The 25,520-nt window shown below is 36.0% G+C and overlaps 1 protein-coding gene and 1 long non-coding RNA gene across 3 annotated transcripts in view, besides 1 other annotated feature; one reads left to right on the top strand and one right to left on the bottom strand.

Annotated features, from left to right (window-relative positions):
* The window catches only part of LOC124901989 (uncharacterized), a 34,027-nt gene extending 24,003 nt beyond the window's left edge, over positions 1 to 10,024 (top strand). Inside the window, exon 3 of the long non-coding RNA XR_007061026.1 lies at positions 9,885 to 10,024. This is a non-coding gene — a long non-coding RNA (uncharacterized LOC124901989). The remainder of the gene's footprint in view (positions 1 to 9,884) is intronic.
* Positions 1 to 25,520, bottom strand: part of VPS13B (vacuolar protein sorting 13 homolog B) — an 864,307-nt gene that overhangs the window by 211,984 nt on the left and 626,803 nt on the right. For both annotated transcript variants that reach the window (NM_152564.5, NM_017890.5), the window contains exons 34-35: positions 23,099 to 23,786; positions 4,106 to 4,243 (exon numbers count right to left, since the gene is read on the bottom strand). In NM_152564.5, the coding sequence (NP_689777.3) occupies positions 4,106 to 4,243; positions 23,099 to 23,786 (826 nt within the window). The remainder of the gene's footprint in view (positions 1 to 4,105; positions 4,244 to 23,098; positions 23,787 to 25,520) is intronic.
* Positions 21,881 to 22,465: an enhancer, noted in NCBI's record as "OCT4-NANOG hESC enhancer chr8:100655360-100655944 (GRCh37/hg19 assembly coordinates)". NCBI's record gives its function as "activates a minimal SCP1, AML or CMV promoter by ChIP-STARR-seq in naive H9 embryonic stem cells {active_cell/tissue: H9 hESC(naive)}" and the evidence as "EXISTENCE:reporter gene assay evidence [ECO:0000049][PMID:30033119]".

Below are 25,520 nucleotides of genomic sequence, written 5' to 3'. Positions count from 1 at the left end.
AACAAGCAATGGGGAAAGGATTCCCTATTTAATAAATGGTGCTGGGAAAACTGGCTAGCCATATGTGGAAAGCTGAAACTCAATCCCTTCCTTACACCTTATACAAAAATTAATTCAAGATGGATTAAAGACTTAAATGTTAGATCTAAAACCATAAAAACCCTAGAAGAAAACCTAGGCAATACCATTCAGGACATAGGCATGGGCAAGGACTTCATGTCTAAAACACCAAAAGCAATGGCAACAAAAGCCAAAATTGACAAATGGGATCTAATTAAACTAAAGAGCTTCTGCACAACAAAAGAAACTACCATCAGAGTGAACAGGCAACCTACAGAATGGGAGAAAATTTTTGCAACCTACTCATCTGACAAAGGGCTAATATCCAGAATCTACAATGAACTCAAACAAATTTATAAGAAAAAAACAAACAACCCCATCAAACAGTGGGCGAAGGATATGAACAGACACTTCTCAAAAGAAGACATTTATGTAGCCAAAAAACACATGAAAAAATGCTCATCATCATTGGCCATCAGAGAAATGCAAATCAAAACCGCAATGAGATACCATCCCACACCAGTTAGAATGGTGATCATTAAAAAGTCAAGAAACAACAGGTGCTGGAGAGGATGTGGAGAAATAGGAACAGTTTTACACTGTTGGCAGGACTGTAAACTAGTTAAACCATTGTGGAAGTCAGTGTGGCGATTTCTCAGGGATCTAGAACTAGAAATACCATTTGACCCAGCCATCCCATTACTGGGTATATACCCAAAGGATTATAAATCATGCTGCTATAAAGACACATGCACACGTATGTTTATTGCGGCACTATTCACAATAGCAAAGACTTGAAACCAACCTGAATGTCCAACAACGATAGACTGGATTAAGAAAATGTGGCACATATACACCATGGAATACTATGCAGCCATAAAAAAGGATGAGTTCATGTCCTTTGTAGGGACAAGGATGAAACTGGAAAACATCATTCTCAGCAAACTATCACAAGGAGAAAAACCCAAACACCGCATGTTCTCACTCACAGGTGGGAATTGAACAGTGAGAACACATAGACACAGGAAGGGGAACATCACACACCGGGGACTGTTGTGGGGTGGGGGTCAGGGGGAGGGATAGCATTAGGAGATATATCTAATGTTAAATGACGAGTTAATGGGTGCAGCACACCAACACGGCACATGTATACATATGTAACAAACCTGCATGTTGTGCAAATGTACCCTAAAACTTAAAGTATGATTAAAAAAAAAAAAAAGTACATTTCTGGCTGGGCACGGTGGCTCATGCCTGTAATCCCAGCACTTTGGGAGGCCAAGGTGGGCGGATCATGTGGTCAGGAGTTAGAGACCAGCCTGGCCAGTATGTTGAAACCCAACCTCTACTAAAAATACAAAAATTAGCCGGGTGTGATGGTGCGTGCCTGTAGTCCCAGCTACTCAGGAGGCTGAGGCAGGAGAATCGCTTGAACCTGGGAGACAGAGGTTGCAGTGAGCCAAGATCACACCACTGCACTCCAGCCTGGGTGATAGAATGAGACTCCATCTCAAAAAAAAAAAAAAAAATCACATTTCTAATACTGAGTCATGTTAAATGCCAGAATTGTAAATACATAATTTTTCATTTATTCATTGGCATTTCTCTTAAAATTCAATTGATTTGGTTGCCTTGAAAATATTGTATCTAATTTACCATCAACTTTCAAATTCCATTGTTTTACAAACAAATCAATCAAATGTAAACTACAAGATAATTTTCTAGCCAAAATGAGCAAAGTGTGCCTAAAAACAAAACGAATGTGAAACTAAAACTGAGAAATAAGTAAATCCAAGTTTCCCCTGTCACTCTTCCATGAACTAATTACGTGTTCTTACCCTATTGCATCTATTCTATTGTGTTCAGTCTTTCATGTGTGAACAACTCTGAAATCAGGAAGTGTCTTCAAACTGATGTAATAAAAAGGCCCTGTATCACAGTGTAAAGAGCATATGTTTTTTTCATTTTTAGTGGCATATAGAATGTTTTTTTACAATTGCTAGTGGCTTAGATGGAATGAAATATGGTACTTCATGCTTACTAACCAAATACTAGCACTCACCTTCTTCAGTCTATTACCTCACTCCAAAGGCTTCTTCCTACACTTTAATGACTTGCTTATCCTTCAGTTTCTTGCTTTCCTTCATATATTTAAAACCATATCTAGAGTTTATCAAGATTAGAAATAGTTCTTCATACTTCTACACCTTTACAATCCCAGCACTAGAAAAACATGCTGAAGAAGAATTCGTCCCCAGTGACAAAGTCAGTGGAGATGGTTTCAGTCTCTGTTTAATCCATGACTGGCTTTCTCCATCTGTAGTATGGATCATAAGTACACTAGCACGCCACAACACATGTACTCAACAAAGTCTATATATAAATATTTTTCCTTCCTTAAAATTCATGCCTTGCGGGGTATTGCTAGAGATCTTAAGACAGTTGTAAAATCATTGCTTTAAATTCTTTTCTTTTTTTTTGAGACAGAGTCTTGCTCTGTTGCCCAAGCTGGAGCGCAGTGGCGTGATCTCATCTCACTGCAACCTTTGCCTCCCAGTTCAAGCAATTCTTGTGCCTCAGCCTCCAGAGTAGCTGGAACTACAGGTACGTGCCACCATGGCCAGCTAATTTTTTATTTTTATTGTTATTTTTAGTAGAGACAGGGTTTCACCATGTTGGCTAGGCTGGTGTGGAATTCTTGGTCTCAAGTGATCTGCCTATCTTAGCCTCCCAAAATGCTGGGATTACAGGTGTGAGCCACCATGCCCAGCCTATTTTAAATTCTTAATGGCCAGGAGCAGTGGTTCACACCTGTAATCCCAGCACGTTAGGAAGCTGAGGCAGGCGGATTGCTTGAGTTTAGGAGTTCAGGACCAGCCTGGGCAACATAGCGAGACCTCATCTCTACTAAAAATAAAAAAAACTAGTTGGGCGTGGTGGCACACACCTGTAGTCCCAGCTACTTGGGAGGCTGAAGCAGGAGAATTGCTGGAGCCCAGGAGATTGAGGCTACAGGGAGCTATGATTGCACGACTGTACTTTGGCTTGGGTAACAGAGCAAGATGGTCTCAAAAAATAAATAAATAAATAAATAAAATTAAATAAAATTCTTAAGGAAGAAACTAATACTCATTCCATGGGTAACACTCTGAAGCACTGTAACTACAAAATAACAAAACAAAAAGTGAAATGTAATAATTTTTGTTAAATAAATAGCTAAGACTATACGGAAGTGAGGGAGAAATAACAGAAGAGGGGGAAGAACATGAGATGAAGGAAGAAAAGACAGAGGAGGAAGATCGAGGAATAAAGAAAAAAACTTTAGTTATGCCCAAATTAGTGTAGTACAGAAGTTAAGCTCTGGTCTTTGGAGTCATAAAGACTTAGGTTTGAATGGCTCCTCTGTCACTATGACCTTAGGCAATTTACTTCACTTTTCTAAGTCTTAGCTTCCTTATTCATAAAATAAGAATAACTATAGTACATACTCCTAAAATGCATAGTGCCTGGGACATAATTAGCTCTCAAAAATTTTTGATATCTGTATCTATCTAAAACTGAGTAATTACTATGTTTCAAGCACTTTGCTAAGCATGTGAAACAGGTACATTTAACTATCAAATCTAATCTATCTATGTATACTATCTTATGTATATATATATCATGTTTCCTATCCATTCATCCATCTAGTCTATCCTCTTCATATACAGGTAAGAAAACTGAAGTATAGAAGATTAGATCAATCACCTAAGATCATACAGTTAATTAATAGGAAAGGTAGAAATAAAATATTGGGGCTTTGGCTTCCAGTCAACTATTCTTTAATTGATAACTACCTTTTTGTCAGACTGAAGGTAATTCTTAATGCATATTTATATTTGCCTTTTGATCTCTAAAATGGGCAGCCTGAAAAGCATACACCTCTGGGAAAAAATGAACTATTCATTTTTTGCACGGAATGTCAAGATTACTAACAGATCCTATATACATGCTAATATATTCACATAAAAAATGTACACACATGTAAATTTTATGACTTTCTTACCTGGTCCATTCAGAAAGTCTTTAATCTGTAGTGTTATAAAGGAAGGTGGAATACCACTTTTGCTGTCTATTTCTCCAGGCACTGTCTGTAGCCAAACAGTGCAATAATCAAGGGCTTCAGGCAGAGTCTTCCCAGGATCTAAAGTGACAAAATTGAAATTAAAAACATCAGTTACATCACAAATATCTCATTTTGATATATGAGTTTGAGTTAATAAATGAGAGAAAAACTGGTTAAATAACTGTTTGCAAGCTTCATTGTTTCATTTGTTTGTGCACATACAGTAAACAAGCACTCGCGCTGAAAAAGATAAACTATCACTGTACAATGTGGGATGACAAAACCATGTTTTCCAGAACAAAGAGGAAAAAAATGTTCAAATCTGAATTCATATCACAAATGAGGGAAGGTAAAGTTTATGTATTCTGAGCTGCTGTTTACAGTTTAATGGTTGGATATTTTTTAAAATGTGATATTAAAAACAAAGAAAAAAGGACAATCTTGTCAGCTTTAAAAAAAAGCATATACATTTTCAAAGATACAGTAGATTAGTACTACTTAGGGGCTATTTGATCTGTTTTAAGAGTTTTACTGACATTACAATCACTTTTTACTTCTAGATCTTTGAAGTTAACCTCAGTAGCTTTCCTGCAACCTTCTTTAAATTGATAAAATTGGTCAGTCTCTTAATAATCCTAATTATAATGAAAATGAGCTTTTTCTGTTTTGACTTTTTTTCTGTTTAGACTTTTTTTCTGTTTAATACTATGTATTTTTAAAATTTTCTGGGTAATATTGTATATTTTTTAAAAAGTATTTTTGGCTATTGGTTGTGGTAAACTTAATTTGCTTTTTAATACTTAGGAATCCACAGCTTTTATTGAAATAGCTCTTTAAATAAAAACGACTGCTGTATCTTGGCATACAGTGTAGTAGGCTTTAAAAAACTTCTAAATATTCACAGTTTTTCTTTAGTTTCATGATTGTTTTACTCTCTGTGTTTTAATGGCCTCTGAATGTCAGTTTTATAGGGATGTTCTTGCCATAGAGTCCATCTATTCCATTTTCAGTCTATTTGAAATGTGTTATTAAAGTATTATTTATTTTAGGTTTTATTGATTGGATTGCTTTCAAGAATAGTATTTACATACAGTGTATTATATTCAACATATGGTTATTTAGTATTGCTGTCATATGTGAAGTGGGCATATAAATTCTGCCTTGGAATTTGTATTTCTTGACCTTATCATGTGATCCTTATGAAATTTGGCACATATGAACCTTATGTGATTTCAAAGAAAATGCTGAAAGCAATTGATCATGACGTTAGATCTATATGGTCAAGATCAAACACTAAGCTAGTGCAGTCTTCTCTTTTTATATCATCAGTGATTTTTAAAGCAGTGAGAATATGCATAGTAGATCCATTTCATAGTAACACTGTACTATTCTCTCTTTTAAATATAATGGTCAAGTCTGGTGAAAGGATGATTAAAAAGTCTGTTGCTGGTAGGATCTACAACCAGTTTGTAGGAACTATGTAACCTGCTAGGACCTGGGCATCTATTTTGGGTCCCACCACCACAGCTATCATCAAAAGTGGTTATTATCAGGTAAGTGGTACCGTGATAGATCTAAACAAGGAGACATAACTCTTCATTTTGAAGAGAATACAATGTGGAGATAAAACAGTGATCTAATAGAGAAAACACAGATCTTAAGTGATATAAATAACAAAATAATGAACAGAGATGATTAAATTGATGTAGAAATGTTAATATGATGTATAAAAAACTGACAAGTAAGACTTAGGATAAGTAAAACAAGTTAGAGTAACTGCATATTCAAACTTACATGGCGCTGAGAATGGTTATCCTTGTGGCATATTTAATCAACTTTCTACATTTTTCTAGAAATAGATTCCAAGTAGCAAAATAATGTATACTGAGGTAACGTGCATTAACTATCCTATTGTATATCAACAATAATAACAATAAGACACCAAAACTAAAAAACATAAGGGCTGACATATATGACCACACAAAACTTTTGTGAAAGAACACCATGAACAGAATAAAAAGTCAAATGACAGAAAAGATGAAATTGTAACATATGTGACAGTAAAAGAAAAGGGATACCATTAATATATAAAGAGTTCACATATTCAATATAGGTACCAACAGAAAAACCAGTGGAGGATAGAATAAGCAATAAATGAAAATTACTAAACAAAACAATAAAAGCAAATGGCATATAAACATTTTAAAAATACAAACATTAAAATATACTAAATCTTAATAATTAAAGAAACAAATCTTCAAATAAGATAGAAATTTTCACCTATCAGATAGGCTAAGACTAAAAAAACTGACAACGGGTCTGCAATCCTAGCACTTTGGAAGGCCGAGGTGAGCATATTGCTTGAACCCAGGAGTTTGAGATCAGCCTGGGTGACATGGTGAAACCCCAGCTCTACAAAAAAAATACAAAAAAATTTAGCTGGGCGTGGTGGCACCTGCCATGCCTGTAGTCCCCATAGTAGCAGCTACTTGAGAGGATAATGTGGGAGGATCACCTGAGCCTGGGAGGTTAAGGCTGCAGTGAGCCGTGATTGTGCCACTGCACGCCAGCCTGAGCTACAGAGTGTGATCCTGTCTCAAATAAAAACAAAAACAAAAACAACAACAACAAGAACAAAAAAAACAACACCCGATAATGCCTGTATTGGTAGTTTGTGATGAGAGGTCCACTCTCATTAATTCCTTTCTGGAGAGTATTTTATAATACATAACTGATTTTAAATGTGTATGTCACTTGACCTAGGAAATTAATGTGTAGGAATTTAATCCAAATAAGAAGTCAGGTAAGTGTGTAAATAAACATACTGGAGAATTATCATAGCAAAAATAGAAAACAACCTACATATCCAGCAACAGATTAATGTTTAAATAAATAAATAAATAAATAATCTGTATAATTGTTTAAGAGAATCAAGAAGATCTATATGGTTGACATAAGACAGTTATTTTATATTGTTAACAGGGGAAAAAAAGCAAGCAGGTTAAGCATTTTCATTCATTGGCCATTCAGGATTCCTCAACTACAAAGAATTTATTTACACATTTTTCTCTTGAGTTCTTTTTCTTACTGATTTGTAGGAGCTCCTTATATATTCTGAGTATTAGTGTTTTGTTTGCCTTATTTAGCAAAGCCTTCCTCACGTGAAGAGGCAGTCATTTAACTGTATTCTGATGCTTTTTGCACGCATACTTTTTAAACACATATGGTAAAAAAAATCTGTTAACTTTTACTTTATGAATTTATTCCTAGGTAATTATATATGTTCCTATAGTTTCTTAAAGCATTTTTAAGCTTTTGGTTTTACCTTTAGCTGTTGAATCCTCCTGGAGAGCACTGCTTTATGAAAAATAGGAAAACTCTGCTCAGCTTCATTCTTAATCAGGGATATATAAATTAAAACAAGAAATACAATTTTTCTTCCATAGATTAGCATAAATTTAAAAAATTGATAATATCTTATATTGGGGGAGAAGGAGAAGAAACAAATTCCCCCATGGATGGTTGATAAGGGTGTACATGCAGTATTTTTGCATGAGCAGAGGAGAAGCCTGACAATGAAAGTTTATCAAAATTATAAATGTACATGTCCTTGGAATCAGGAAGGCCGTCTTTAGTACTGTACCTTAAAGAAACACTTAAGAATATATAAGTAAATGTCCAAAGAAGTTGACTGCAACATCATTTGAAATATTAACAATTTGGGAAAATTTAAACTAAATATCTATCTATAGATAAATATAAAATAAACTATGAATGCACCATAAATACTGCATAGAATACTATGCTACTGATAACGAGAATGGTGTGACTCTCATATACTAAAAGAGAAGAGCTTAAAAATATATTGATCAGTGAATAAAACAATGAAATAGGACACAGATTCAGTAAATTCAAATGTAAAAAATCTATCTGCATACACACACACACACACACACACACAATTTTTAAAGTACTGCTGAATGATCACCTCTAGGATGATCCTAAACATATGCTGACTTATAAGTTATTCAGGACTTAAAGACAAAATAGCACTATTTACCAAGCATTTATAAAAATTAAAGGGAAAAAGAAAAAACACTTAGTGGGTATTTGATGCCCTCCTCTCAAGGTATAAACTGGGGGAATAGCAAAGTCTGATAATGTAGATAAGAGTTTTCAAGGTAAGTGAAGTGGGTTTTGTGCAGTTGCCTCTCTTTTGGCACAAGTTAGAGGACCTGACCATCTGGCACCAAGCTTAGGAGTCTACTCTGGGCAATTACAGGGGGAGATGACTTAATAGGAGACACAATAAACCAACTGGCCATAGTAGAAAGCACAGGAGAAGTTAGAAATTAAAGCAACTGTAAAAGTCTAGGAAATCCATCCAAGGAATCCAAAATGACTATTTCCCAACAAAATATTAATATAACGGGTTTTTAAAGTATGCCTGAATTTACAGGGTTGATAAAACAGAATAACTGAAATTAGGAACATCCAGAAAAATACAGGTTGCATGGTTAATGAAAATTGAATGCAGGATAGGGCTGGTGGCCCTTTTCCCAGTTTTTGCTAAACTCTCTACTTCGCATATGCCTGTAGTCATTAACATTGATAGAGGTAAGTATGCCTTTGTTTATCATTTAAATCATAGAAAATATAACATGAGTCAGTGCAGCCAGCTCAAAATGAAACTCTGAAAGCAGCTGTAGTAGCAGAAAGGTGTGTCAGAATCCCAGAGAAACGGCTCAAGTTCAAAAGTCACCCTTTAGTCCCTTATGCTCTAATGGCTAGAAAATGAGGGGCATGACTCCTAGTCTTCCTGTCCTGTCCTCAGTTTAACTTCTCCTTAATTCCATCATCAGGTCTACAATATAGGATTCATATTACACATTCTTCAGGGTCAACACACTGGGGAATGTACCAGATAAACTAAGATTAAAGGAGCCTATGAATGTAATATAAATGGAGTGACAAACAGATAACTATTTCATATTGGAAGCTCTTTCAGACCTCTTCTGGATGTATTCAAGTCATAGGAATCTCTCAAAAATAATAAATTCCTGCTGATGTTGATGAGCACATTTACGCTCCTGTCCCTATGCCAAAGAAACAGGAGAAAGTCTTATCTTATGAGGAGTAACAGAAGGTAGGAAATGTGTCAGAATAAATGACAAACTGCCCACAGCCATAAATTTGGTTCAGAGTGAGTTCGATTTCACTTTCATAAGGCATTTGTATTGACAAAGCTGTAATAATTGTTTTTCTTCTGGGTTGACCAGGTCTCAAAGAAAAACAAAACCAAAAAATCCCAATCCTCTGCTCCAAATTTCATCATATTATGTCATAAGGAATACCTAAAGAGAAGATTCAGAAAGCCCCAACTCAGTTCCCAGATGAATCAAGACTTTCATGAAGACTTGATTAAGACTGCATTCGTTTTGTTTGTAGGTTTGCTCTTCTTCAGAAAAAACCCTTCATTTCACTTAATTGTTTGGCAGGGCTTCCAGTAAATCTGATAAAAGTGGTCTTTTGAAGTGCTGCTCACTATTTCTTTTAACCCTTAGCAAACATTCATAGAGTTAAGTATGTCTTTGGTTACTACTTGAATTGTGTAAAATACAACATGATTCAGTGCAGCCAACTCAAAATGAAACTCTGAAATTGAATTCACTTCTTTTCTTCTTCTTCTTTTTAACCTTTTATGCTTGGAACCTAACAGCACCTGAAAGCAGGGAGGAGACAGTACAGTGAGGAAAAGCATCTGACAAGGCCAGCTGGGGCAGAGGATGGGAAGGATGGAGACACCTTGGTTTGGAAGGCTAGGAAGCAGGCAAAGACTGGCTGTCACTTCAAATCACTAACCGGGCCCACTGATTCCATCTACAATCCTAACCCACCTCCTCGGGACTCCCTATGCCTTCCTACCAGTGAAATGCGAAATAGCAGCACCTACCACAGCCAAGAGAGCACTTAACACAACAGCAGTTTATGGACACGAAGAAGAGAAGGGAGAATAAAGAGGAAAATGATGTTGATCTAAAAGTCTCACTCTGGTCCCTTTTATAATAGATATTTTACTTTGAAATAAACAGATTTTTATGACACTTGGCTTTTTAAGATTCAGTGCTCTTTATTCATATTGTAAAAAGTATCAAAACTCTTTGTCTCTGGTAGATAGCACTTAGAAGTATCCAGTGTAATTGGACTTCGTTATGTATTCAGTGTTGTATCAAGGAAGTAAATAATCTGCAAGCCAAAATAGACTGCTTTCCATTTTCTAAACTAGAAGTTAGAGTGCTGATTCCTTTTCCAAAGGTGTCTGGGTGTATCAACTTTTATTCAAAGAAGGGACTGAAATGAGACTTCAAAATAATTTACAAGTGAACATCAGAACTTCTATTTCAAAGAGTTTTCTGTTTCAAGGATGATCAAGCAGCTAGCTAGAGTAGGGTAGGAGGAAACACCTAAAGAGGAGTTAGGGTAGCAGGTGAGTGCTTAGAGATTCCTTACTCTCCCTTCCTGTGTCCCAATTCATTGAGACAAGTTGTTCCTAGACAGTTTTTTTTTTTTTTGGCTTAATCCTTTTATCCCCAGCCAAGAACAAATAAAGGTGTTTCTTAATAGAACTTACAGAGAATTTAAAGGACAGCATTTTGGAAATTCCTATCATGCTACATTTATTTGTAGTATGATACATTTATTTGTGGCTATCTATGAAATTGATGTTATTAAAGCTCCCAAGCAGCCTCTGCCAGAGGCCAAAGTTGTGAATGGTTTTGGCTATGCTCAACGGCTTCAAGTGTAATCCTCTGCAATAAGAGGTCACTATCAGAACAGTCACTTCTTGACCACTGGACATGTAAAAGGCAAGCTACAAGCTTACTGAGTTTCATACATTTTTCTATACTTACTTGGAGAAAATATATTTTCTATATTTACTTTTTGATCTATAGTTTAAATGGCTAATTTGTTCTTTTTCTTATGTAGCCACAAAAGCAAAAGTAGTCCATGAAGGCTCTATAAAGCCTGCAAGTTAAATTGTGAAGGAATCTAGATCCATTAAACATCATAATAATTCAGTGTCAGCCGGGCGTGGTGGCTCACGCCTGTAATCCCAGCACTTTGGAAGGCCGAGGCGGGCGGATCACAAGGTCAGGAGATCGAGATCATCCTTGCTAACACAGTGAAACCCCGTCTCTACTAAAAATACAAAAAATTAGCCGGGCGTGGTGGCGGGCGCCTATAGTCCCAGCTACTAGGGAGGCTGAGGCAGGAGAATGGTGTGAACCCGGGAGGCAGAGCTTGCAGTGAGCCGAGATCGCGCCACTGCACTCCAGCCTGGGTGACAGAGCAAGACTCTGTCCCAAAAAAATATATATAATAATAATAATAATAATAATCATCATCATCATCCAATGTCAGGACAGCAAAAATCAACCAAGAAACCAGTTCCAAATTGCTCTGGATGCAAGGTAAGTGCCACCATCTCCCTGTGGATATCCAGACCTTTGGCTAACTCTATAAGCAGTATTTCACATGCTCTGCGATTCTGTACCTACTCTGCACCTCGTAAGATGTGATGGGAAGGGCAAGAGATTTCCTGGTTTGAAACCCCAGGTCTGCAGTCCATAGTAACAGGAAAAGGAAGGGATTAAATTGGCTGCTGGAATGTTTGACCATCAATGTCCACTTGCTCTTACTTTTAGAACCAAGTCTTTCATATCTTGCTAGAAGGAAGTGTATTCTTTATACTTAATGAATATTAAGTATAACCAGCAGATAATATGTGAAATATCAATTCAATTAATTCCTTTTAATTCATTTTATGTGCTGCTCTGTGTTGTCCTTGATCTCTTTCTTATTAAAATTTGGTTGTTTCATATTAAATTCTAATGTGGCCAACATTTGATTAAAATTCAGCACAAGTAAGCACAAGGTGCTATTCAGTGAAAAAAAAAAAAAAAAATGAAGTCACATATCCAAGGAAGATCAACTTAATCCCAACTGTAAACCTCTTTTCTGCTCTAAGCAAAGTTGGGTTTTGTAACATTAAAGCTAATCACTGCCTTTAAATGATTCCCCCCATTTTCATTTGTTTTAAGTAAATGTTGATGATTACAATGGGAGTCACAAAGGCCAGGGCACTAATCTTTTCCTCGTGTCTAAAAATGAAAGTTTCCCTTTTAATACTAATAATCACTGAAGTCCCAACTTATGTTTGAATAATGTTTCATATTTCCACTTAATTTCATAAATATCACCTCACTTGAAACTCAGATTTAACCATTAATTGACTAACAGCAGATATTATCAAACCATTTTAGAGATTAGAAAACTAAAGCACCAAGAAATTTAGCTGTTTGCATGAAAGAGCTTTGGCATTAGAACCAAGGCTAAAAGTCAAGATTTCTGATTTCTGTTCTAATACCCTTCCTCATATAATATTATTTCCCTCAGCTGGTTGGGTCATTTCTTATTTAACCTTCTCATCACCTTTCTCTCTGAGTGATACACTAGAATGCCTCTCATTTAAGAGATCTACTTTCTTGCTAATTCCTGTCAAAGTAATAATTTTATTTCATATTATTAGCCAGCAAGCAATGTTCACAGCAGCTAAATTTCCAGATAAATGTTCAGAGTGTGATCATTATGACATTAAAGTCACAGGTTAATTCTAAGCCTTTCCAGGGATATTAACAAAAACCTTAATTCTAAAGAGGCATATAATTCAATCTTTTTCTTAAAGTCACAATAACTAAATGAAATCAAGATATGATTTATGAGGTGTAAGAAGCCATTTTATGATTTTTCAACTGTTCGTTTACTCAAATGTCTTTGGCACATTTCTACAGTCCTATTCATGAAAGGATAAAAAAAAAACCCTCAATTACTGTAACTGAAAATTTTCAAACCACAATAGCTAGAATTACATTGAAATGATATGCATTATTTTACCATTTACAACCACTACTTTAAAAAAACACTTAAAGATATTAACAATGATGACAAAAGCAACAATATTTATTAATAGTCATTGAGCCTTGTGCCATACACTTAGCTAAGAACTTCGCATACATTGTTTAATCCTAATAGCAACACTAGGAGGCTGCTACCAGTATTATTCTCATATCATAGACAAGGAAACTGAGGCATAAACAGGTTAAATAACTTGCCTAAGGTCACACAGCTGTAAGGAGTAGAATCAGGATTAAAACTTAGTACCGAGAGGTCTAATCCTGAGCTCTCATAGGACTCCATATTTCAAGTTTGACCCTTCATTAGACCTTTGGCATTTATAAAACTTCAAAATGCAGAAATTGTCCCATATTAGATAACCTATCTTAAACATTACAGTATCCTACACAGAAGTGTGCTATGACCTACTTTTTCAGTATGATACATTCAAATAAACTTTAACTTCTGTATTTTAGTCTAGTTGATGTTTGAAAAGATACAATCAGGTAAATAAGTTGCAAGATGGCAGAAGTAAATGTTTTCAGTTGGTTTCTTTGTTAGGTCCTAGCACACATTAATGGGTAACAAGATATTGCACTAAGGAGTTAGTTAAATTCCCTCAGAACTGTTCAATCCCTTCACATTTGACCAGATGGCACAGCCATTTCTTCAAAAACAAACAAAAAAGCCCCAAACAAACAAGAAGAAAAATGACTTTTTGAGGCTGCCTTGGGCTGCATAGTCAAGACATGAGGCAATTTCAAATCTGGACTCCATTACCTTAAACAAAACAAATACCAATTTTTAAATATTTATAAACACAACTAATACGATTATGCTAAAAACAACTACATACATCTTTATTTAAATGAGAACTGCCAATAATACAGCTGCTATGTATAAAGGTGCTGGCAGAAGATCTCATTTCTGTTAGAGGTTGCTCCAGGTGGGAAGGGCATGGAAAAGCCTATTGCCACATTAGTCTAATATTTCTAAAAAGAAGTTAACTCAAAGACTTACTATCTACTTGGAAAATCATTTGAAGTAGATTATTAATATTAATATTCATTAAAAATTCAAGTTGATAATTTAGTTTTTAAACAATGTTTTTAAATTAAGGATGAAAAGCATATTGCTATGTATAGCTTAAAGATACAGTCAGCATAATTTAGGACCAGTAAATTATGCAGAATATGAATTATACTCTATTAATAGGACTTTCAAAATTATAATTATCATACTTTTAATTTTGCTTTAGCTTTGTAAAACAGATTTAGATGTAGGTATAGATTCCACTTATTTATCCTGGGAAGTATCTCAAATACGTTTTTAAATGTATATGTTTAAAGTCATCCCTTGTTGTTCACAGGGGACTGGTTCCAAGACCTCCTGTGGATACCATATTCCACAGATATCCCAGTCCCTGATATAAAATGACCTGGTATTTGCATTATAGCCTATTTATATCCTACTGTATACTTTAAATCATCTCGAGAATACTTATAATACCTAATACAATATAAGTGCTATGTAAATAGTTGTTATGCTGTATTGTTTAGAGGATAATAAGAAAAAAAGTCTGTACATGTCCTGTAAAGATGCAATTTTGTTTGGAATACTTTTGATCTATGGTTGGTTGAATCCACAGATGTGGAACCCATGAATACTGAGGGCCAATTTTATACAGTAATCCCCTGCCCTTATCTGTGGTTTCAGTTACCTGCAATTACCTGTGGTCTGAAAATATATTTTGAGAGAGAAAGAGAGACCACATTCACATAACTTTTATTACAGTATATTGTTGTAATTGTATTATTTTGTTATTTATTATTGTTGTCAATCTCTCATTGTGCCAAATGTATAAATCAAACTTTATCATAGGTATGTATGTGTAGGAAAAAACAGTACATATAAGGGTCAGTACTATCCACAATTTGAGGCCCCACTGGGGATCTTGAAACATGTTCCCTATGGATAAGGGACATCACTACAGAGTATACACATATATTTAACTATACATATATATTTTAAAATTGTATATATCAGTCACATGTGCTGGGGAAGGCAGGTTGACAAGAAGGGCAATGAATCTCACAGCATTTTCCCCTGCTAACTTGATTTGATAGTATATGAAAGGAAAGCCCTGAGGAATGCAGAGAGAGAACACCATTGCTGCCCTCTGAGTGTGTGCTTATTGGTGACACGGGAAGAATCAAGTTAATGCTGACAACTCCTTGGGAGCAGTAATTACTGATTAGGCTATATGTAGCTGATCTGTGCTCAAGATGTAAAGATATAAAAGTATCACTTTTAGAGGAAATCCCCTATTAAGTTTCCCAGAAAACCAAGTCCTGGCTAATGGACTAGAAAACATTATTATTATTTTTAAATGGCAGGATTTCTGGTGCCAGCCCAGACTGGAATAACCTCACTGCAGCCTAACTCTCATGCTGCTTACAATTAAAAACCTTGTAAAAGACACAAAAAGCAAATAAATACCTGAGAATTCTGAAAAGTAAATCAGACCAATGCAGATTGGAGAGGAAAGTCCAATTTGTGGCTATAACCGACGTTGTGATGAATTTCCCAGTTCATGTTGTTTTGTGTCTTCTTTTATAAGTTTAACTCGAGAGTGAGCCCTATATTGTGGTGCACAGTGAAGGTAAGGACACATCCAAAGCTCCAACAGGAATATTGTCTGGAAATTAAGTCCCCTGTGGTTTTAAGAGTGTAGGGGAAATCTTGTTGCTTTTTCTTTTCTTTTTTTTTCTCTCTCTCCTGGCTTTGCCCTGAGGGTGGACCCAATATCCAATGTGTGTGTGTGTCTGTGTGTGTGTGTGTGTGTGTGTGTATGTAGAGGGGACTGTTACAGTGGTGGCAGTGACACAGGCATTTAAGACTTTAAGCAGCTGTTACAACTGTATTTCATGAGGTAAAGGTAAACACACCTGAAATGAATTGAAATATAAGTTCTTAACAGATAAATAAGAACTACAAAAAAGAACCAAATGGAAATTTTAGAAGTGAAAAATTTAATAGAAATTATCCAATCTGAAGAGTGGGGAAAAAAAAATGAGAGTCTTAGAGATTTGTAGGACAATATTAAAAAGCTTAACACTTGAATTCCAAAAGGAGAAGAGAAAGAGATTGGTGCAGAAAGACTATTTGAAGAAAAAAGGGCCAAAAGTTCTCAAATTTGATAAACAAAACCAAAACAATATACCCATAAATTTACAGTCAAGAAGATCAGAGAACCCCACACAGGATAGAATCAAAGAAACCAAGTCCAGACACACAATAATCAACCTACAGAAAACTAAAGATAAGCAGGTGTCTTGAAAACAGCTAGAGAAAAACAACACATTACAAATATGGAAACAGTAATTGGAATGAACATGGATTCCTCATCAGAAACCACAGGGGACAGAAGAACATGAAATACTATCTCTAAAGTGCTAGAAGACATGTCAACCCAGAATTTTACATCCAGCAAAAATATCCTTCAGGAATGAGAGAAAAAAAAAAAAGGTACTCGCAGATGAAGGAAAACAGTATTTATTGCTAGCAGCTCTGCTCTAAAAGAAATGCAAAAGGAGGTTCCTAATGCTGAAGAAAAATCTACCAGAGGGAAACCTGGAGCTCTGGGGATAAAGGAGCACTGAACATGGTAAATGGCTGGGAATACAAAAGACCACTTTCCCCCTCTTCAGTTCTTTAAAATATATAAGATTACTGAAACAAAGATTAAAATCTTATCTGGTAGGGTTTTGAATATATAGATGTAATATTTATGACAATTATAAATGGAAGACAGTAAAGGAACCTATGTAGTTGTAAAGCTCTCCCATCTTCCTTTAAGTGATGAAATATTACCTCTAAATAGAGTGTGAATGATTAGACATGCATACTGGAAACCCCAGAGCAACCACTAAAATATATTACAAAGAAATATAGCCAAAAGGCAAATTCATAAAGTAAAATATTTAAAAATATTCTGAATCACAGCTAAAGCTGAATATACAACTAATAAAAAATCAATAACTTTAAAGATGTATCTAAACAGTTTTTCTTAAGCCATCACATACAACTGATACTAGCTTTTCTAAATTGCTTCTCTGGAACTTAAATAAAGGTCATAGGCTTTATTTAATTAATGTAAGTGTTTCACAACCCTCCATGGCATGAAGATCTTTATTCTGCTAAACCTTCAAAATTAATCTTAATAAGTATGGTTATCACATGAAGCAAGGTGCCTGAAGGCAGAAACTGAGTCTTATTACTGGTTTCTCAGAGTCTTGCCCATGTCTGATAAACAGCAAGTGCTCACATTCAGCGAATGAATGAATATTCCCAAAATATGTCTGCTGTATAAATGAAAGCACAATAGGAATAAGATGTTCTTCTGAAGTAATAAGTCAAGCTGATTGTATAAGACAGGAGGGAAGATGTAATTTTAAAAGCCAGACTGATTAAAGTAGTCACCTTGGTATATTACACTGTATTCCTACAACACTCAAAGGATTTTCAATATTCACTTTTGGGCTCTTCATTATAGTTGCCTGAATATGTCAAATTAAACCAAATCTTCATAATTTAATGTCAAAAGTATTTCCATCTTTCTAGAAGCATCACCCAGAGCCATACTTTAATAATGAATAATGCCCATGATCGAGTGACAATTTTTAAGACCCTTATGAATTATAGAATAAAAATCTCTTGAGATAACCAGCGTTATCTGTGTAGGTCCCCTGTGCCTGAATTTTTTTGTGATATTCTTACAAATTAATGAGATAAATAAATTATTAGTTAAATAAAACCTTTGACATATATTCTTTTTATAGTTACATAAGAACTATGATTTTACCTTTTCTGAAAATTATTAAACCTTTTTTTTTTTTTTTTTACAGTCTTGCTCTCTCGCCCAGGCTGGAGTGCAATGGTGTGATCTCGGCTCACTGCAACCTCTGCCTCCCAGGTTCAAGTGATTCTTCCTTTTTAAGTGATTCTTCCGCCTCAGCCTCCTGAGTACCTGGGATTACAGGCACCCACCATCATGCCCAGCTAATTTTTGTATTTTTGTAGAGACGGGGTTTAACCATGTTGGCCAGGCTGGTCTTGAACTCCTGACCTCAGATGATCTGCCCACCTCGGCCTCCCAATGTGCTGGAATTACAGAAGTGAGCCAATCACGCCCAGCCATGAAAACTTTTTAAAGAGTAAAACAAAATCCTTTTTTTATATGATTTCTATATAAAGGAACATGAGCACATATAATAATGGTTTATGACTTGTATAGAAAACAATAAACAATGACAAGCCACATTGTGCTAGGATTTTTTTTTAATAATCAAATGTTATTGTCCTCTCAAAACAAAACAACCCAGAAAGCCAATATCTCTATAACAACCTCACAGGTATTTTTGAAATGTGACAATGGGGCAATTATTGAGATGCGTGTTATGTTAGGCTATTTTTGCATTATATAAAGGAATACCTGAGACAGTAATTTACAAAGAAAAAAGATATATTTGGATTATGGCTCTGCAGGCGGTACACTGCACTAACATCTGCTTGGCTTCTAGTGAGGTCTCAGGAAGCTATGATCACGGCAGAAAGCAAAGGGGAAAGCCAGCGCATCACATGGGGAGAGAGGGAGCAAGGTAGTGGGGAGGCGCCACATTCTTTAAACAACCACAACTTTCATGAACCCAGAGCAAGAACTTACTTATCACTAAAAGGATGGTACTAAACCATTCATGAGGAATCTGCCCCTATAATCTAAACACTTCCCACTAGGCCTTACCTTCAACACTGAGAGTCACATTTCAAGATGAGATTTGGAGGGGATAAACATCCAAACCAAATCATACAATCATACATATGTGCAAAAATTGCTATTGGCCAGTTGCCACTGGAGTTACCTTATAGAAAAGAATAAATTATTTTGTGTTTGAGACAGGGTCTCAATCTGTCATCCAGGCTGCAGTACAGTGATGCAATCTCGGTTTACTGCAGCCTTGACTTCCCAGGCTCAGGTGATCCTCCCACCTCAGCCTTCTCAATAGCTCAGACTACAGGTGCATGCCACTGCAACTGGTGGCAATTACAATTTTTTGTAATTTTTTGTAGAGATGGGGTCTCACTATGTTGTCTAGGCTAGTCTTGGACTCCTTAGCTCAAGTGATCCACCCACTTTGGCCTCCCAAAGTGCTGAGATTACAAATGTGAGACACTGTGCCCACCCAAAAAGAATTTTAATATCCAGAGAAAACATATGAACACTGTGGAAACACATGACATGTTACTTCTTTCACTTTTAACTTATGATGCCTTTAACTTTTCCTGGACCTTTCTTAGAACATTAGCTTCATGGTAATATCTCTTTTAGTCCCTCCAATTTAAAGACACTGCAATGACTCCTTCACTTTAGAATGCAGAAATGGAGCTAGCCACCCCCAACTTACTGCTCTCTCTGCTTCCCTCCCCATGAAAGTTAGCATTATAGCCATTTATATTTTTCTCTTTTTTCTTATCCTTAAGGTTACTATCTTGGGGCTTCCAGAAAACACCAGTTATGGAACAGTGCTTTTTTCAGGAAAGAAAGTACTACATAAAGTGTTTCTGGATAGCCAAATTGGTAATGGGACTTAGACAATTCATTCAAGTGGACAAATATAAAACACATTTCCAGATCAGTTTTTGAAAAATAATTTCATTAACATTTAATAAAACTTATATATTTAAAACTCTGAATAAACTAATTAGAGCTCCACTAGAATATCAAAGGAAATCTGCATCTTCAAAACAAATCAAAATAAATTTCTACCTGATACTGCAGAGCCTTACAGATGTCAACTCCATGAAGCCAAAGCCAAATTACAGAATTCCAAATTACAGAATGATGAAACTTCAGAACTGGAATGGACTTTGTTGATATCTATTATAATCATCACATTTTACAGATAAGAAAACAGAAAGTCAAAGAGTAAACTGCCTAAGATCACTTTACTAATTGATGGCAGGGCCATGAATAAAAATCCCAGGTTTTCTGCCTCCTAGTTAAGTATTCTTTTCACTATATGATATTGACAGCTAAAATAGTACCAGCACACATTTTTGAGGGCCTAGGCCTGCTGGCTCAATGCTAAGTACTTTAGAATTATTCATGAATTATCTCTTTTCATTTCCATAAGTGCATAATGATATAGGTATACATATAAGTGACAGAATTTGAACCCAGGTTTTCCATACCTGAGTACTGTGTAATCACATCACAGACACAGTTAACATAAAAATTCATCAGTTAAAACTTAGACAGGAATCTTTTGCATGGTCTGAAGTGGGACAATAGAGGCTGACTGAGAGAACCTCCAATTCAGATCCTTCTTTTCAGGGGACCCATAGAGGTTGAGAGTCTAGACTCAGGAGTCCAACACTTCTTAGCTTTGAATTGTAGCTCTGTTTATTGCTAGGTCTGTGACCTTGGGGAAGTTACTTAACTTCTCTAAACCTTAGTTTCCTAATCTCTAAGATAGAACATTTCCCATAGAGTTGTCATTAGCATGAAATGAGATAATGCGTTAAAGCAGTTAGGACAATGCCTGGCACAGGGTGATCACTCAATAAATGCTAGTTGAATTTTATTTTTAGCCATTGTATTTTAATTACTTGCCTCCTTTTGGGTCTTCTGAAAAAAATTTCCCTAGATCACTAAGTTCATTTTTAAGAAATATTATCATGCATATTGATAACTTTTGCTTATTACTAACCAGGAGTCATACTACTGAGATAATATAAATGTTCAAGTAGATGCATTCTGTGTAGGGAAAGGCATCCATGAGAATATTATGCAGAAAATGCTCCTTAGAAAGTATGTGAGCCTTTTTCCTCCTACATTTACCCCCCACCCCTATATTAAATCTAGCCCATGACCACCACTCTAGCTTCATGTACCAAAATTGGGTTCCACGTCAGTTTACATACAAGGTTTTTTCCCCGCTTTAAACAAGTGTTCTATTATTTTAACCTAGGAATTGATTATAATTCAAATGCCTATCTTTGGTATGAGCTCTTATAACTTTGCTGAATACAGACTTAGATGAAAATGTATAAACACATGATTTGGGAGTATATCAATAAAACAGACTGAAGCCAATCTTCTCTTACAATTTCAGAAAGTGGAAACAAGTCCATCATTGGCAGTTCTTTTCTATTACTGTGGTCCCTGGCTTGCCTCAGTTTAACAATTTCAAAGGTTGAGGTTATATACAGAGTATCCTTAGGTTGGGCTTGAAGTAAGCAAAATGAGGCTTCTGTGATCTCTGCATATCTACAAATTTAGGAAGAGGTCATAGCTGTTCCTCTCGGCCCCTTTCCCCCTCCTACTTTCCTCTGCCTCTCCTGATGATTTTTAGTACGGGCCACCCACCTATAGAGCGACTGTAGCTGAGTGAACTTAATGAAGGGCTGAGAATTAAGAATTCATCTCCTAATCCTGCACTTAAGTTTTGGCTAACGCCAAGCAGACTTGCAAGCAGGTATCAGGTATATAGGCATGAGTTCTTGAATCACATAACATGTTCCACTATACCAGCATCTCCCACATTTTCATTGCCCCTGAAGTACCTGTTATATCACAGGCACCCAGTAAATGAGAATATATTTGAGAAAGAGAGGCAGTTGTTGCTGGTAAGGGTTTAACAAATGGCTCTTGGTGTAGGAGAGCTGATATGATTGAGTTTGCAAGCATCTGCGGCATAAATACTTTCACCATGGCCAATTTAAGCTACTAGTAGTTTAACAACTGTCTTGCAAAGTTCCTGAGTCTAACAATCAGCTCTTTTGACCCATTATGAGCTGCACAGGAGAGAGGGCCAGCAAGCAGCCTGGGGGTAACCCTAGGTTACTCCTCAGCAACTGGCTAGTTACCCCTTTCTTAAAGCAGGGGACTTGCACTAAACCCTGGCCTAGAGCTCCTTTGATCCTATTTCCTCAGGCTGAATCCTGATTCCCACACCTGCCATCTACCTTTCAGGATCCTGCTGTGCAAAATGGTCCTTCTTAATGGCAAGAATGAACAAACCTGAATTCCAGATTAGATACATTGTCTGAATGCCTCACTGCTGGCTTCCACCTACTGGATGGGACCAGCTGAAAGCAATAAAATGCCTGAACTATTCCTGAGCTTGCTAGAGCCCTCTTTGAATACTGAATCTTAGGTGACCCAGCTACCCTCTCCAGTTTTTTTTGGCCAAATCTCCAAATCTACATTAACTCAGGGAAAGGGTATACTGTCACCTTGCTTGACTCCACTGGCCCTTGTTACTTAATAACTTGTATGTCTTAAATCTGAACCCTGCTCACTTTCCTAGTCTCAACAGGCAAAAAGCTTCGGAAGTTTCATATAATTATTATAATTAGAATAAGGAAGGGATGGGTTGGGCAGCAAGAGCAAATTAGCCAACATCAATATATTTTCTGTAGATGTACAAAAATCTTTAAATAATCTTTATTAATAAACCTTCTCAATTACATTTAATACGATGCTATTGCATGAAGATGATTACATCAAAAGAATACCAAAAACAAACTTCATCTTCTAAGGCTTTTCTTTTTTAATCTGAATAGAAGCATTAACATGGAAAGCATACCTATGGGCCATTAATATGAAAACGAGCTATGCTTTCCAAACACTGGAAACTGTTAAGCATCTCTATAGTCAAGAAAGAGTTCCTGATTCATTCAGTTCCTGGAAAAAGAATGAATATTCAGAGGCATAGTAAGAATACTAAGCTAAACCTCAATACATTTCAAACATTTACTTAAACAGGATTCAGCTGTGGAACATGAACTTTCCATATTCTGTAGAGAAAAGACTTTTGTCTGCCAGCTGTTTCTGTTTAATCAATCTGGAAACTATGGGAATACAACTTATTAGATAGTAATTATTAGCACTCCAGTAAGTTTGAAGGTTCTTACCTATACATTTGTAATCAGAGGCCACCCCTTTAAGCACAGCATCAAAAATGGATACTTCCACTCGCTGCTTTCTGTGGTGACAACTCAGAAGCAAGGAAGGCTGGGACACAATAAAGTACAGAAAAGGCTCTAGCTGTAAGTCACCAGTTCCTCTTCGACCAGGCTGCCGAACAATAGTTATACCAAGTGCTTGTCTAGCAGATGACCTTGTGGATGCATGAAGACTTTCAAGAGAGAGGACCCCTATTTTTTTCCCTGAAGGAAAAGAAATGCTGCTCCTTAAGAGATCTTCTGCTGTCACCGTGGAAATACATGCCTGGTTGGGCTTAGCAACATCTGAATCAACTTCTGGGAGATTTAATGAACTCTTGTCTGTTTTTTCATTATTCTTCTGTTCTTGTGATTTCGATTTGGATAAGGCCATACAGGAATAGGTCATTAGTGAGATTCTACTTGCAGTAATAAATATGTCAAAGGGAATAAAATTTAGATTTTTTACAATTGATGACTGGCGTGAGGGACGGGCAATGCGATGCTGACTGGCACCACTGTGCTGCTCTATTTGCACTATTCTGATTTTAACACTGTCACTGCCAATTCCACTATCCTGAGCACCACTGTAGCGAGATGAGGTTTCAGCCATGCCTCCATCAAATATATCCACTTTTTTCTGTTCTTGTTTAGAGATCTGTAAGAAAAAAGTAATAAAATATTTCAAACTAGTTACATGCCAAGTGTCATATAAACAATGTTATATAAACATGTTGTCAAAGAGAAAATTTTAAAAATGAGTCTAGTATAACTTAAAACAGTAATCAGAAAAATAGAATAGGTGCCCATTTTCTACACCAGACCCCTAAAATCACCTAAAAATGCCAAGGAAATACTTGAGAAAAAGCATCTAATGTTCATTTCCATCATTAAAATATATTTTTGAATGTCAGATCTTCTTTCTTTGCATTAATACAGAATAGCATATATCTTTTAAAATGTCTCTTTAAAGAATTATTTTAATACATACTTTTATAGTGATTTCTCAAGCAATATAATAAACTGTCTGCAAAATCATGATTACTGGTGGTTGAAATTACATTTTACGTAGAAGTAGTTTATGCTATACTCCTTACCTTTCTTATAAAACTGATTTATAGGTTTTTGGACAGTAAGAAAGGGAAAAATCAGTAGTCCTAAATTATGAAGGACAAAGAAAAGTACACTAAAATAAATGCATGCCATTTCAAAAGATGTTTATTTTCTCCTACTACAATAGGACTTAAAACAAGGACAAATATAAGTGATAAAGTAAAATCAAGTCAGTTATTAAGTAATTTAAACCCTTGAGGGTAGATTATTCCTTTGTGCAATAAAGGCTACTAGTTCTCAAAATTTTCCACCAATGACTCCCCATGTATAGAACAAAGAGCAACTTGGTGGCAGCAAGAGTTATAATCATTTGGCTCCAAGAACATCAGTTCCTCTTTCTTAGACTGCCTAACCATCAGTCTGCAACTTGCTATTCTGCACCTAGATATTTTACTTGCTTTTTCAACAGAATTATTAAGGTAACCATAAAAAATCCATAAGAGTAAAAAAAACTACCCCACCCCATCTTATCACCAAACATAACCAATAGTAATATTTCATGGCTCTTCCTTTCAGTCTTTGTTTCCTACCTATGCACAGGTTTGCTTCACTTGTATCCCTTTATGGTTGTAATGATACCATAGGGACAAATTGATAACTCAAATGTTGACATGCTAATGTACTCTTCATAAATATAATTTTTAAAGCTGCATAACATTTCATTTAGTGTTAGAAACAATTTGTTCTACCATTCCCATATAACTGGATATTCAAGTTTTCAATTAGTGCTGACAAACACCTAGTAATATTTTCTCAGGACAGACAGGCTCCTAGAAGTGAAATTATTAGGCCAGGTGCAGTGATTCACACTGGTAATCCCAGCACTTTGGGAGGCTGAGGTGGGAAGACTGCTTGAGACCAGGGGTTCGAGACCAGGCTGGGCAACATGACAAAACCTTATCTCTACAAAAAATATGAAGAATTAGCCAGGCCTGGTGGTGTGCCCCTGTGGTCCCAGCTACTTAGGAAGCTGATGGCTTGAGCCTGGGAGGTGGTGTTTGCAGCGAACCGAGATCATGCCACCACACTCCAGCCTGGGTGACAGAGTGAGACCCTATCTCAAAAACAAAAACAAAAACAAAAATATTTTTAAAAAGTGGAATTATTAGGCAAATGGTACGAAAAAGTTTAAAGTTACTGAATATTGTCAAACATCTATCCAAAAAGGCTGCACTAAGTTACATTACTATCAGCGATAAAAAATGTCTCCCAAAGTACTGGGTAACTGGGTATTGCTTCTTCTTCTTTTCTTTTCTTTTCTTTTCTTTTCTTTTCTTTT

This window comes from Homo sapiens, chromosome 8 (genome assembly GCF_000001405.40).
Source record: "Homo sapiens chromosome 8, GRCh38.p14 Primary Assembly".
Lineage (NCBI taxonomy): Eukaryota > Metazoa > Chordata > Mammalia > Primates > Hominidae > Homo > Homo sapiens.
This window is presented reverse-complemented; position numbering and strand designations above follow the sequence as displayed.